The sequence below is a fragment of the Homo sapiens genome, chromosome 4 (assembly GCF_000001405.40).
Source record: "Homo sapiens chromosome 4, GRCh38.p14 Primary Assembly".
NCBI lineage: Eukaryota > Metazoa > Chordata > Mammalia > Primates > Hominidae > Homo > Homo sapiens.
In genome coordinates this window covers 9,731,327-9,744,967 of record NC_000004.12, presented here as the reverse complement: position 1 = coordinate 9,744,967, position 13,641 = coordinate 9,731,327, and the positions used below count along the sequence as shown (strand labels likewise).

General features: G+C 45.6%; 1 pseudogene, besides 1 other annotated feature; it reads right to left on the bottom strand.

Annotated features, from left to right (window-relative positions):
* EVA1CP1 (EVA1C pseudogene 1) lies at positions 2,602-11,598 on the bottom strand (annotated as a pseudogene).
* Positions 12,052-12,839: an enhancer, noted in NCBI's record as "NANOG-H3K27ac hESC enhancer chr4:9733753-9734540 (GRCh37/hg19 assembly coordinates)". NCBI's record gives its function as "activates a minimal SCP1, AML or CMV promoter by ChIP-STARR-seq in naive and primed H9 embryonic stem cells {active_cell/tissue: H9 hESC(naive and primed)}" and the evidence as "EXISTENCE:reporter gene assay evidence [ECO:0000049][PMID:30033119]".

The window sequence follows — 13,641 nt, the reverse complement described above, 5'->3', positions numbered from 1 at the left end:
AAGCCCAGAGTCGCCCGTTCTATAGGGCTTTGTGAGCCTCTGTGATTTGAGTCACAAGCTTCTTGTGGTGATTTCATTTAGCTAACATCCAACACAGTGCATTTAGAGACTCTTTCTCTTGGACATTATGTGGAGGCGTGGCAATGGTTTGTTGAGATAAATGTCCCAAAACACCCCTCAATAAAACCAAATAACAGCTCATCAATCCCTTACATTTAAAAAAACAATTCATATCTTATAGACAGCAAATATTGGACGACAATAAGGCACAGGAAAAAGCTCATAAGCCCAGATCAGCAGTCATCATTCAATTGTTCCTTAACTACTGACTGTGCACCTGTTCTGTACCAGCACCGCATCCTAGATGCAGGGACACCACACGAAATAAGATGACAAAGCAGCTGCCCCTGTGGATCTGAGCCACTAGCAGAAGAGACAGTCACTAAACGAATATCTCTATCCTGTGGTTTCTGGGAATGACAATCACATAAAAGGATAGAAACGGATGGAGGAAACCTAATTCAGACAACTCAGGATCAGAGTGGGGAGGTGGTTGCATCCCTCAAAATTCAGAGTAGCTGGAGTGCAAGCCTTGTCTTAGCTGAGCCTGAATCCTGGCCCTGCCGTTGACCATGGTGTCCTCAGGCAAATGGCTCAACTCCTCTGACCACCGGCTTCAAGTGCAGAACAGGGGACCAGAGTCCCATCTCTCAGGGTTGTTGCTGTGGACTGAATTGTGTTCCCCCCAATTCACTCATTAGGAGCTAATTAAGGTTAAAGGGGGTCATAAGGGTGGAATCCTAATCTGATAGGATTGGTGGTTTTATAACAAGAAGAGATGTCTCTGTCTCGGTCTCTCCCCCTCTCTGTCATGTGAAGACAAGCAAGAAGGCTGCTGTCTGCAAGGCAGGAAGACAGCCATTACCAGAAAGGGATTGGTGGATACTTCAATCATGAACTTCTGGCCTCCAGAACAGTGAGAAAATCAATGTCTGTTATTTAGGCCATCCGGTCTCGAGTACTTTGATATGGCAGCTGGGCTGGCTGAGGCAGTTGTTGAGAGGAACCGACAAGGTAGTTGGGGTAAAGCACACAGCACAGCCACAGCTCACTGAGCACAATGTCAGTCTCATTCCCCTTCAATTGTTATTTTCTGTCTGGAGGATTTTCATGATGGATTTTCTCCAAGAAGCTCCCTGGGCTCTTTGTAAATATGGAGATATTTCTGACAAGAAAAATCCTTACAGTTCTTAACATTGACAATGATCAGGAACAGCAAGACATGAAAATGAGAAGGTGACTAGAAAACAGAGGACCCACAGAAGAAACCAACAACCACACAACACACAAACACACAGGAGGAATTCTAATGCAGAAGGAGAATAGAACAGCAGGGGACCCCAAGACTGAACTCTGCATCTCATGTATTGAGATCATTCCCTGATATGGTTTGGCTGTGTCCCTACCCAAATCTCATCTTGAATTGTAGCTCCCCTAATCCACATGTGTAATGGGAGGGACGTGGTGGGAGGCAATTGAATCATTGGGTAGGTCTTTCCCATGCTGTCCTCATGATAGTGAATAAGTCTCATGAGATCTGATGGTTTTATAAAGGGGAGTTCCCCTGCACAAGCTCTCTTGCCTGCTGCCAAGAAAGACGTGACTTTGCTCCTTATTCACCTTCCACCAAGATTGTGAGGCCTCCTTAACCATGTGGAACTGTGAGTCCATTCAACCTCTTTCCTTTATAAATTACCCAGCCTCAGGTATGTCTTTATTAGTAGCATGAGAACAGACAAATACATTCCCTAAGCCTCTATTTTCCTCTGAGACAGGCTTACCCTGAATAGCCCCATCTTTGCAGGCCTTGAATAGTAATACTGTTATGTGCTACATTAACATGTATTTTACTGAAGGTCTCTGGTTTTTGTCTCTCTGAACATAGGCAGGCATTGCTGAAACTTGCAGATGACATTCCAAAATGTGTTCTGTCTTAAGATAAGCAGAGAGGGTCATGAGGAAAAACTGTACATACCTTCCCCCCAGTGATGAGGTCCCCACAGTGTGGCCAGCCTTTGTATAAGCCTTTTGGCTCTGCTAATTCATGAGGGCTGAGTCTGATTGATCCTCATGGGGAAGACTAACAAGGGAATCCTTGGCAACCATTAGGAATAACACTCATGACCCAGAAAGTGGTTCTGTCTTCATGGGCCATCATCTGTCTTGTTTACTAAGTGACCTTTGGGCTCATTTTTCTTCCAGCCAGGGTTGGAATTCAATAATCCTAGTTCCTTCCCAAATTTTAGAGCTGGGAAATGCATTCCTCGGGTTTCTACTTTTCAAAACCAACAATATCTGTGGAGCTCAACTCCTAAATAGTGTGACTTTGTCTGTTTATGTGGTTCTCTTTCTGACTGCCTGGTTGCGACTGTGCCTGAACTCAGGCCTCTGTGTTTCTGAGTCTTAGAAGTGGTGGTTGGCATGTCAAACTTGAAGTCATTGTCCTTTAGTTATCTGAGTGTTATAATTGAACAGCACATTTATTAACAAGACCTTAGGAAATCCATCAGCTTTCTAGGAAGCTTTGATTCATTGACCTATCTCTAATGTAAGCAAAGGCTGCCAGAGAGTTGCTAACAAGAATTCCATCTTTCCTCAGAACCTTCGATTCGCTTGGGTCAAAGTTTATACCTGTTTCATGAAAAATGCAAAACCAATTAATCACAGCTGCTCATAGCATGCCTATTCTAAGAGACCTCTGCTGTTCCTACCCCAGGGACTGCCAGAATAATTAAAAGTCACAGAAATCAAACAAATGGGCCTCTGGCTAAATTATAGATGATTAACCCAGGAAGAGCACTTATTAAATAGTAAGCAGTCCCTGAAAATATTAAAGTACAAAAAGGATTAGAAATTGTTTTAAGTGTTGGTTCCAACTTCAGGTGCTGGTCTTCCACTCCACTGCGGAAGGGAACAAATGGATTTTCCCATCCTAAAGACAATGACATTCATCACGCCCCTTGGAGGCTTAATAACATCTCACTTTATGTTATTTTATTTATTTATTTATTTATTTATTTTTGAGATGGAGTTTCACTCTTGTTGCCCAGGCTAGAGTGCAATGGTGCGATCTCGGCTCACTGCAACCTCTATCTCCTGGCTTCAAGCGATTCTCCTACCTCAGCCTCCTGAGTAGCTGGGATTACAGGCACGTGCCACCATGCCCAGCAAATTTTTGTATTTTTATTAGAGATGGGGTTTCACCACTTTGGCCAGGTTGGTCTCGAACTCCTGACCTCAGGCGATCTGCCTGCCTCGGCCTCCCAAAGTGCTGGAATAGCAGGCGTGAGCCACCCCCCCGGCCAATAATATCTCACGTTAAGCTTGGAGTTGCTGTCCGCTGTGCTGTGTGGCCAGAGATAAAACAAGTCGCCATTACAGAGGGAGGTGGTATGGGGCTACATTTTTTTTTGGAAACAACAGCAAAATGTGAGGCAAATCCGCTTTTAGATCCTGGTTACACTGCTGGATGGAGCTTAGCAAGCCTGTGATAGCGTAGCCTGGTGGTGCCTTGGGGGACTCCTAGCCATGTCAGACAGGACAGATGCCTTTGAGGAGAGATGGCACAGTGCTGGCTCTCAGGCCCCCATTGCAGGGGGACCAGGCTATTTATGGATCGGGTGGGAACCCTGTTAGAAAAATAAGAGGAGGCTGGGTGTGGTGGCCTACGCCTGTAATCCCAGCATCTTTGGAGGATGAAGTGGGTGGATTGCTTGAGCCCAGGAGTTCGAGACCAGCCAGGGCAACTTGGCAAAGCCCTGTCTTTAGAAAAATAATAATAATAGTTAATTAATTAGTTATTTTTTTTAAAAAAAGAAAGAGAAGTGGAGCTGAGGAACACAGAGCCTGCCAGAAAGCCAAGGTGGTCAGCTAGAAGGACACAGAAGAACATTACCATAGTTCTCACTGAGCTTTTGGACTAGGGGTGTTTCATGTGGTTTTCATATCATACTTTACTTTTATACTTAGCGGGGAAAGACCTAATACATACAATAAAGGTAACACAAGACAAAACTCTCACCAAAGCCTAACATCTTAGATGCTCTACTGGGTCTCTGCAATTTCTACTAGGGACCCCACGGGTTTGAATTCCAGTTAGATTTGATAAGAAAATCCAAATGCTCAACCCCATCATCCCCCCCCTCTTCCAGCCCGTCCACCCTATTTACAAAAGCCAAGTGAAAACTAAGGAGGGGCCAGGTGCAGTGGTTCACACCTGTAATCCCAGCACTTTGGGAGGCTGAGGCGAGGGGAACACCTGAGGTCAGGAGTTCGAGACCAGCCTGACTAACATGGTAAAACCCCGTCTCTACTGAAAACACAAAAATTAGCAAGGTGTGGTGGTGGACACCTATAATCCCAGCTACTTGGGAGGCTGAGGCAGGAGAATCACTTGAACCCGGAGGCAGAGGTTGCAGTAAGTGGAGATTGCGCTACCGCACGCCAGCCTGGGTGAGAAAAAGCGAAACTCCAAAGAAAAAGAAGAAAGAAAGGAAGAAAGAAAGAAAGAGAGAGAGAGAGAGGGAGAGAGGGAGAGAGGGAGGGAGGGAGGGAGGGAGGGAAAGAAAGAGAGAGAAAGAGAAAAAGAAAGAAAGAGAGAGACAGAGAGAGAGAAAGAAAGAAAGCAGAAGGAGAAGAAGGAAGGAAGGAAGAAAAGAGAGAGGGAGGGAGGGAGGGAAGGAGGGAGGAAGGGAGGAAGGAAACTAAGGAGGAAGGTGGCATGTACAGAGGTACAGAGGCCCTCAGGTCCTAGCTGGCCCTGGGTGACAAGAGTGAAACTCTGAAGCAAAAGGAAGGAAGGAAGGAAACTAAGGAGGAAGGTGGTGTCTACAGAGGTACAGAGGCCCTCAAGTCCTAGCCGGCACTGGCACCTACGCAGGTTCCAATGGGCTGAGCTTTGCAAAAAGCTCATTGTGTAACCCAGGAAGCACAAATTTATTTCTGAGCAGATGTCTTTTCAAAGTGATTTTCTTTTAGGAAGTGAGAGGAGAATGAAGGGGAGGTTTATCCTACTTCTGATGTTAAAAAAGTCATAACAAAATAAATTGGTGTTGATTTGCAACTATTGGCCAAAGCACTATCGTCACCGGGACCGGTACCTCAAACACACCTCCTGACAGCCCCTTCCATTCTAATCAAGGTATTCCCAACTGTGGTCACCCAGGGGCTGTTTACTTTTACTTAAAGAGAAATGCTGGTAGTAAGCCATAAAAATTACCATATTCACCATCTTTCTGCTTCAAAGAAGGTTTTAGATTAGCAATGGCTGGATCAATCACTGTGAGTATGTTCTTGGGAACTAAAAGCCAAAAAGAAATATTTTAAATACGTGGTATATTTTTAAAATGTGGACTCAATATATTTTTAAATGCAATGTAGATAAGATTTTAAAATCACTTTCCAAATCGGTGCAAGAGTCACTCCCTCTCCCTGTTAGATGCACATACTTACACACAAACCAATGGTATCCACATGATCATCAAGTGCTCCAGAGAGGTGGTTTTAGGTCTATTTTGCAAGATTTAAAAAATGGAGAATAAAAACAAGATATGATATGTCCATCCAGCAGAATGCACCTCAGTAATAAAAAGGAATGAAAAGCTCGGCATGGTGGCTTACACCTGTAATCCCAGCACTTTGGGAGGTCGAGGTGGATGGATTACTTGAGGTCAGGAGTTCGAGACCAGCCTGGCCAACATATTTGAAACCCCATCTGTACTAAAAATACAAAGTTAGCTGGGCGTGGTGGCACACGGCTGTAATCCCAGCTACTTGGGAGGCTGAGGCAGGGAGAATTGCTTGAACCCGGGAGGCAGAGGTTGCAGTGAGCGAAGATCACACCACTGTATCCCAGCCTGGGTGATAGCGTGAGACTTCAACTCCAAAAAAAAAAAAGTGAAGTACTGATATGATACATGCTACAACATGTACGAACCTCTGAAACATTACATTCAGTTAAAGAAGTTAGCTGTGCACACACACACAAAACCATCCATTGCATAATTCCATTTGTATGAAATATTCAGAAAAGGCAAATCTAGAGAGAAAGTAGATGCGTGGTTACCTGGGACCGGGGGGTTGGTAATGGGGCAGTGATGGCAAATGGGCACACAGGAGCTTCGGGAGATTGTGAAAATGTTTTAAAACTGGAGGGTAGTGATGGTTGCACAACTCTAAATTTACTAAAAATCACTGAATTTTATTCACGTGTAATAGAATTTTGAGAAAAATAAACAACACCTCAATAGAGTGGTTAACTCTGGGCCGGGCATGGTGGCTCATGCCTGTAATCCTAGCACTTTGGGAGGCTGAGGCAGGTGGATCACTTGAGTCAGGAGTTCAAGACCAGCCTGGCCAACATGGTGAAACCCCGTCTCTACTAAAAAATACAAAAATTAGCCGGACGTGCTCACTTGAACCCAAGAAGTGGAGGTTGCAGTGAGCTGAGAGTGTGCCACTGCACTCCAGCCTGGGTGACAGAGCAAGACTCCATCTCAAAAAAAAAAAAATATATATACATATATATATATATATATATATATATATATATATATATATATATGTGGTGGTTAACTCTGAAGATGAGCTTCCCTGGACTTAGTAAAGCAAAATGACTGTGACCAACTCAAAATCCACCATCAAACTCTCCCAGCACCTGCTCTTCTGCTTTCTACCCCAAGCTCTTTGCCTCTGTGTTTCCATCGTAAATCTGGAAAGAATTCGAAGACTCTGTGCTAAAGTGATTTGCTAAATATTATCAGAAAGGACTACAGAAAGATGCAGAGAGGATGGCAGCGTGACCGACTCCTTTGAAGGTGGTTTAAGACTCTGCTGAACTGACCCTAAGAATAAGCCCTGGGATGTCAGAATCCCCAGGCAAAGCAGCTGGCAGATGACAACACCCGCTGAAACAGAGGGCAGAGCAAGAATTCTGCAGGCCAAGCACACTGCCGCAGGCTGGGAGAAGGGAGTGGAAACCGAATATTCCTCCTGCATAAAATTGCTTATTTTTGTTTGTTCCTCAGCCCAGCTGAGATCTTGGAGAAGTAGCAACAGGAAATGGAAAGAAAGCAAAAACAAACTGCAAATTCAATTGCACTGCTTTTTTAAAAAAGAACAAGTGAGACATCTTCAGCAGCAAGAAAACCTTGTTTCCTTTCTTGGAAGGCTTAACTAAATTCTTCTGGGGATGTCCCAGGATCAGCAACCACAGGACATTCCTAGATTTTGCGTTTTCCATGTACAGGAGGCCCTGGTGCGTTCGTGCCTATCAGCAGCAAGGGAGACTTCCCAGGGAGGCCCGGTGAAGTTGCTGGAGGTGGCTGATGATTTCCAGGGCCTTGAGGAATGTCCCTTGGCTGTCGTCAGGGCACACCACTGATCCTGGGACCATGGCAGCTTTGGAGAGCTGAGCGGAGCTGTTGCAAAATGCTTTCTGCTTTAATTACCTCGCATTCATTTCTGGGCCCTGAGAAGGATGCAGTGGCCTGGGAAGTGTCAGCTCTCCCTGCCAGGAGTGGTACTTCTTTCTCATGTCTGCCTCTTGGCTTATTCTCAAACTGTGGCTTCAGGAGGGCCTTGGCTCTTGGCAAATGCCAGAGGCTTTACAGTTTGAGAAAGAATCAGAATTTTGAAGAGGAGCTCAGAGAGGAAGGTAATTCTAGGATGCACTTTGCAGAATAACCAGGCAGTGAAAAGGTTAATTGGCTGTGGATGACACAGGCCACTGCAGGGAATGTGCCCCTCTACTATATGAAATTGGTTCTGTAATCCAGAGAATCTCTTAGGTCCTTTAAAATCACCGTTGTCAACACACTTGTCAGATTTTTGCATCTGCTTGTTTCAAACTGGTTCAGAATGAGGTCGGGGACAGGGGTGTGATTGATCACCGTCCTGCTCCACTTCAGATATGTTGGTGAAAACACTAGGGACCACTCTTCATGGAGCTCCTACTGTGTGCAGGACCCTGTTCTCAGCAGTTTAAACCAGGGCCATCTTCCTCCTCATCAACACCTTTCCTCTCCCACTCAGCAATCTCAGTGTCTCAGCCCCTAGAGTGAAGCTAGTGTGCATACCCTAGTGTTCACCCTACAGGATGGTTCTCTTTGGAAGACTTAAACCACCACCCCCAAGCCAAATTAGGCCCCCTCCACTGCTATAGTCTTCTTCCCTTTTCTAAAATAGCATTTGTCATAGTAGGGCATGATGATGTGTCTGCCTATTTGGTTAATGCTTGCCTTTCTCCCTCAACTGTTCACCCCATGAAAACAGGACCCTGTCTTTTTTTTTTTTTTTTTGAGACAGAGTTTCACTCTTCTCACCCAAGCTGGAGTGCATTGGTGAGATCTCAGCTCACTGCCAACTCCGCCTACCAGTTTCAAGTGATTCTTCTTGTCACAGCCTCCCAAGTAGCTGGGATTACAGGCATGCGCCACCATACCCAGATAATTTTGTATTTTTAGTAGAGACGGCGTTTCATCATGTTGGCCAGGCTGGTCTTGAACTCCTGACCTCGTGATCCACCCGCCTCAGCTTCCCAAAGTCCTAGGATTATAGGCATGAGCCACTGTGCCCGGCCAGTTCTTGTTCTTTTACTTATTTATTTTTGGCAGATTACTGTTTACAAGCATTTATACACACACACACACACACACACACACATATGGGAGTTTATTAACTATTAACTTTCACGATCACAAGATTGTGATTGTGTTATTAAGTATTGACTTCCACAATCATATATATATATGTATATATATATATATATATCCCATTATATATCCTATTAGTTCTGCCCCTCTAGAGAACCCCGGCTAATACACATACAAAAGCACATACCGAAAAGGGGGGAGCCGCTCTGGCTTGGAGGAGCAGATGTCCCTTTCCTGGGTCCTCCTGCCATATGTCACAGAGTAGATGTTGAGGAACTTGGATTCATGGCAGTGCAGTTTCAGCTCCTTGTCTTCACACACGGTTTTGTTTTTTAATTCATCTGAAGCAGAAACAAAAATTGAAGGCACCATCAGCTTCCACCAGAAGGAATTGATGGGCTCTCTCCAAGTCCCACTGCTCATTTCCCCGGGGCTGCACCCTGAGAAGGGGGCAGCGGGGATGGCCCTGTGGGCTCATGCTGTCTCTGATCCCAGAAAACAAAGCCCTCTGCAGGAAGCAGGTGGGAAGTAACCTGTTGACAAGCGCAAAGACCCTGGGAATTATACTAAGGGGCAAATGGAGGAGAGGTGCTGGCGTTAAGGAGGCAGACACATGGAGTTAGGCCCCAGGAAGGGCGTGGCTAGAAAGGAAGTTTCTCTTGCTCAGCACTTCAGGTCACACATTCCTTCACTGAAGGGGACCTTTTCTCAAATGTTGGCTTGGGATCCACATAGGTAAAGACAGACCAGAAATTACTTGAAAGAAGCATTAAGCTTCTTTCTCTCTCTAGAGAGAGCCCAGTTAAACCTCACCTCCAGCCCCTCAACTGGCATCCCCTTGTGTGTATGAATTATTTATTATGTTAGTTTAGCTTAGTTTTTTTTTTTTTTTTTTTTTTTTTGAGATGGAGTTTCACTCTTGTTGCCCAGGCTGGAGTGCAATGGCACCATCTCGGCTGACCGCAACCTCCGCCTCCCGGGTTCAAGCAATTCTCCTGCCTCAGCCTCCCGAGTAGCTGGGATTACAGGCATGTGCCGCCACACCCGGCTAATTTTTTTGTATTTTTAGTAGAGACGGGGTTTCACCATGTTAGCCAGGATGGTCTCGATCTGACCTCGTGATCTGCCCGCCTCAGCCTCCCAAAGTGCTGGGATTACAGGCGTGAGCCACTGCGCCCAGCATTAGTTTAGTTTTTTAGAGACAGGGTTTCACTCTGTTACCCAGGCTAGAGTGCAGTGGTGCAATCATAGCTCACTGCAGCCTTGAACTCTTGGGCTCAAACCTAGGCTCAAGGGATCCTCTCGCCTCGGCTTCTCAAGTACCTGGGAATATATGAATGCACACCATGCCCAGCTTACGTTTACTTGTTTAAAAGACAAGAAAGAGGCCAGGCACAGTGGCTCACACGTGTAATCCCAGCATTTTGGGAGGGAGGCTGAGGCAGGAGGATTGCTTGAGTCCAGAATTTGGAGACCAGCCTGGGAAACATAGCAAGGCCTCATCTCTAATTAAAAAAAAAAAAAAAGCAAGAAAGATGATATGATACCAAATAAAATCATTTCCTTTCCTAGGAAAAGGGAAAAAACAAGGCACGTTGTCAGTTAAGAATCCCTCTTTAGAGAAGCTTGAAGTCTGCCCCAAATCTGGTAAATCCAGGAACAACTGACTGTGAAGCTGATGGTGCATTCTAGGTTAGGATGATTTGGACCAGGTTGTACTTTGTTCCTAAAGAATTCAAGGAAAAGTTTGTTTGTTTGTTTAATCTGCTTAACATAGTAAAATCTTTCTTTGCAATGTCATACAAAGTTGGCATTACGTGTGCACTGTTGAAGAAAACATAGTTAATTGTTTTTTTTTAAAGAGTGTACTCCAAAACCATTTAATTAGTAAATATGTTTAATAATGATTTTTTTTTTTTTTTTTTTTTTTTTTTTTTTTTTTTTTTTTTTTTTTTTTTTTTTTGAGACAGAGTCTCGCTCTGTTGCCCAGGCTGGAGTGCAGTGGCGCTATCTCTGCTTACTGCAAGCTCCACCTCCCGGGTTCGTGCCATTCTCCTGCCTCAGCCTCTGGAGTAGCTGGGACTACAGGTGCCCACCACCACACCCGGCTAATTTTTTGTATTTTTAGTAGAGACAGCGTTTCACCGTGTGAGCCAGGATGGTCTCAATCTCCTGACATTGTGATCCACCTGCCTTGGCCTCCCAAAGTGCTGGGATTACAGGCATGAGCCACTGCGCCTGGCCCTTTGAGTACATTCTCTAAGAAGTTGGTCATGAGTTCAGATGTCTGCCTCAAAGAGACACTTGTGGTTTCCATTAAAGAACACACCTTCCCTTTCTACAGGAGTATTTATGGGAGATACGGGCCTGGAGGTTGGAATCTATCCTGGTTGTACTTTGCTATACTGAAGTAAGGAGTAAACCTACAAGTAAATTCATATTGAAGTGTACAAAGGGGCTCTACAATAGGTAGGAATTCTATTTAGTTTTGTTGAGTAACAAATCCTTTGAGAAGCAAATAATAGCTCACCTACAAAACTGGTGATCTGTATAAGTTGGGATTTTTTATGGATCAGTTTTGCTTGGATTGAACTATATAATCACAAATATATTTATACCCAGAGAGACAGAAAGAGTGTCTGTTGAAACTGTATCATCTTAACGTGTCTATAAAAGGCAATATCTGGAAGGTGGTGGGTGCCACACAGGTTAAGCTGTCTTCCCTCTGGCAGGCAGGCTTCTGGGAACTACACATTGGGTAATCTTGCCCATAAAATGCCGATTGGATACTTATTGTAGAATGCCAAGGGCACTATGGATTCAGATAGTCCCCATCACAGGCATAGGTGGTGTGGTTTTGCAGGAGTTTGGTTAGGTAACCTGGAAAATATTCAGTCGGTTTACAAGAGGCCCAGGAACCCACCACTCCTCCTTGGGTTTGGGGACAGGAGGACGTTGGTTCCCCTGGGGAAGGGCTGTTGAGTTAACAACATGTGGGGTAGGGCCTCCCTAGCAGCTCTGGTGCAGAGGTCACAAAACCAGGCCCAGAGGTGGGGCACAGGAGCCAACGTCAGCTTTCATGTTGATATGGAAGGGGGGCAGGGGAATGCTGGGTAGAGAAGGGTGGGGTCCCTGGCGAGGGCTTTGCCCTTGGGCTTGTGCCCTTGCACCTTAGTGAGAACAGGCACTCCTGTTTTCATGTCCAAATATTGCATTTTCCAAGACTACTCTGGCCTGCTATGACCCCCATCCTGTGCCCATAAAAAACCCAAGACCCTAGTGGGCACAGACACAAATGGCTGGACATCCAGAGGAGCAGAGAAGCAGAAGAGCACACCGACAGACATCAGCAGATGCTGGCAGGCTTTTGACAGTGGGGAGATGTGGAATTCAGTTGGGGGCGGTTGGAGGAGAGTCTGGCTGCTAGGCAGCCCAACTCTAGGGGAAGACCACCTTCCCTCTCCATCCCCCTTCTGGCTCCCCATCCATCTGAGAGCCACCTCCTCCACTCAATAAAATCTTGCATTCATTCTCCAAGTCCACGTGTGATCTGATTTTTCAAGTAAAGCAGACATGAGACTCTATTTTGTTCTGTACTAAGAAAAATTCTTCTGCCTTGAGATGCTGTTAATCTGTAACCCTACCCCCAACCCTGTGCTCCCTGAGACATGTGCTGTGTCAACTCAGGGTTAAATGGATTAAGGGCTGTACGGGGTGTGCTTTGTTAAACAAATGCTTGAAGGCAGCATGCTTGTTAAGAGTCATCACCACTCCCTAATCTCAAGTACCCAGAGACACAAAACGCTGCGGAAGGCCACAGGGACCTCTGCCTGGGAAAGCCAGGTATTGTCCAAGGTTTCTCCCCATGTGATAGCCTGATATATGGCCTCCTGGGAAGGGAAAGACCTGACTGTCCCCCAGCCGGACACCCATAAAGGGTCTGTGCTGGGGAGGATTATTGAAAGAGGAAGGCCTCTTTGCAGTTGAGATAAAAGGAAGGCATCTGTCTCCTGCTTGTCCCTGGGCAATGGGACATCTTGGTATCAAGCCCGATTGTATATTCCATCTACTGAGATAAAGGAAAACCACCTTAGGGCTGGAGGTGGGACATGCTGGCAGCAATACTGCTATTTAATGGATTAAGATGTTTATGTGTATGCACATCAGAAGCACAGCAGTTAATTCTTTAACTTGTTTAAGATGCAGAGACCTTTGTTCACGTGTTTTCCTACTGACCTTCTCTCTGCTATTACCCTATTGTCCTGCCAAATCCCCCTCCCCGGGAAACGCCTGATAATGATCAATAAATACTAAGGGAACTCAGAGGCTGGTACCGGCATGGGTCCTCCGTATGCTGAACGCCCTTCCCCTGGGCCCTATTTTCTTTCTCTATACTTTGTCTCTGTGTCTCTTTCTTTTCCAGGTCTCTCATTCCATGTAAGGAGAAACACCCACAGGTGTGGAGGGGCAACCCACCCCTTCAATCAGGAACCTCAGAATGTGACATTTGTAAATTGGGTGGTTGCAGATGTAATGAATTAACTTGGCCACATACTGGAGTAAGGTGGGCCCTTCACACCATATGACTGGTATCCTTATAAGAAGAAAAGAAGAGACACAGAGGGAAGACAGCCGTGTGCATCTGGAATGATGCATCTGAAGCCAAGGAATGCCGCGCATTGCCGGCCACCACCCAAAACTGGAAAAAGTCAGGAAGGATTCTTCCCTAGAACCTTCAAAGGCAGCACAGCCCTGCCAACACCTGGATTCAGACTCTGGCCTCCAGAACTGTGAGAGGATGAATTTCTGTTGTTTTCAGCCACCCAAGCTTAGGAAATGGGTTGCAGCAGACTGGGAATAAGACAGGCAGCCAGGCAGCCTCCGTGGAATTCCCAGGCAGCTTGCAGGAGCCACAGTGGGCCCTGGGCTC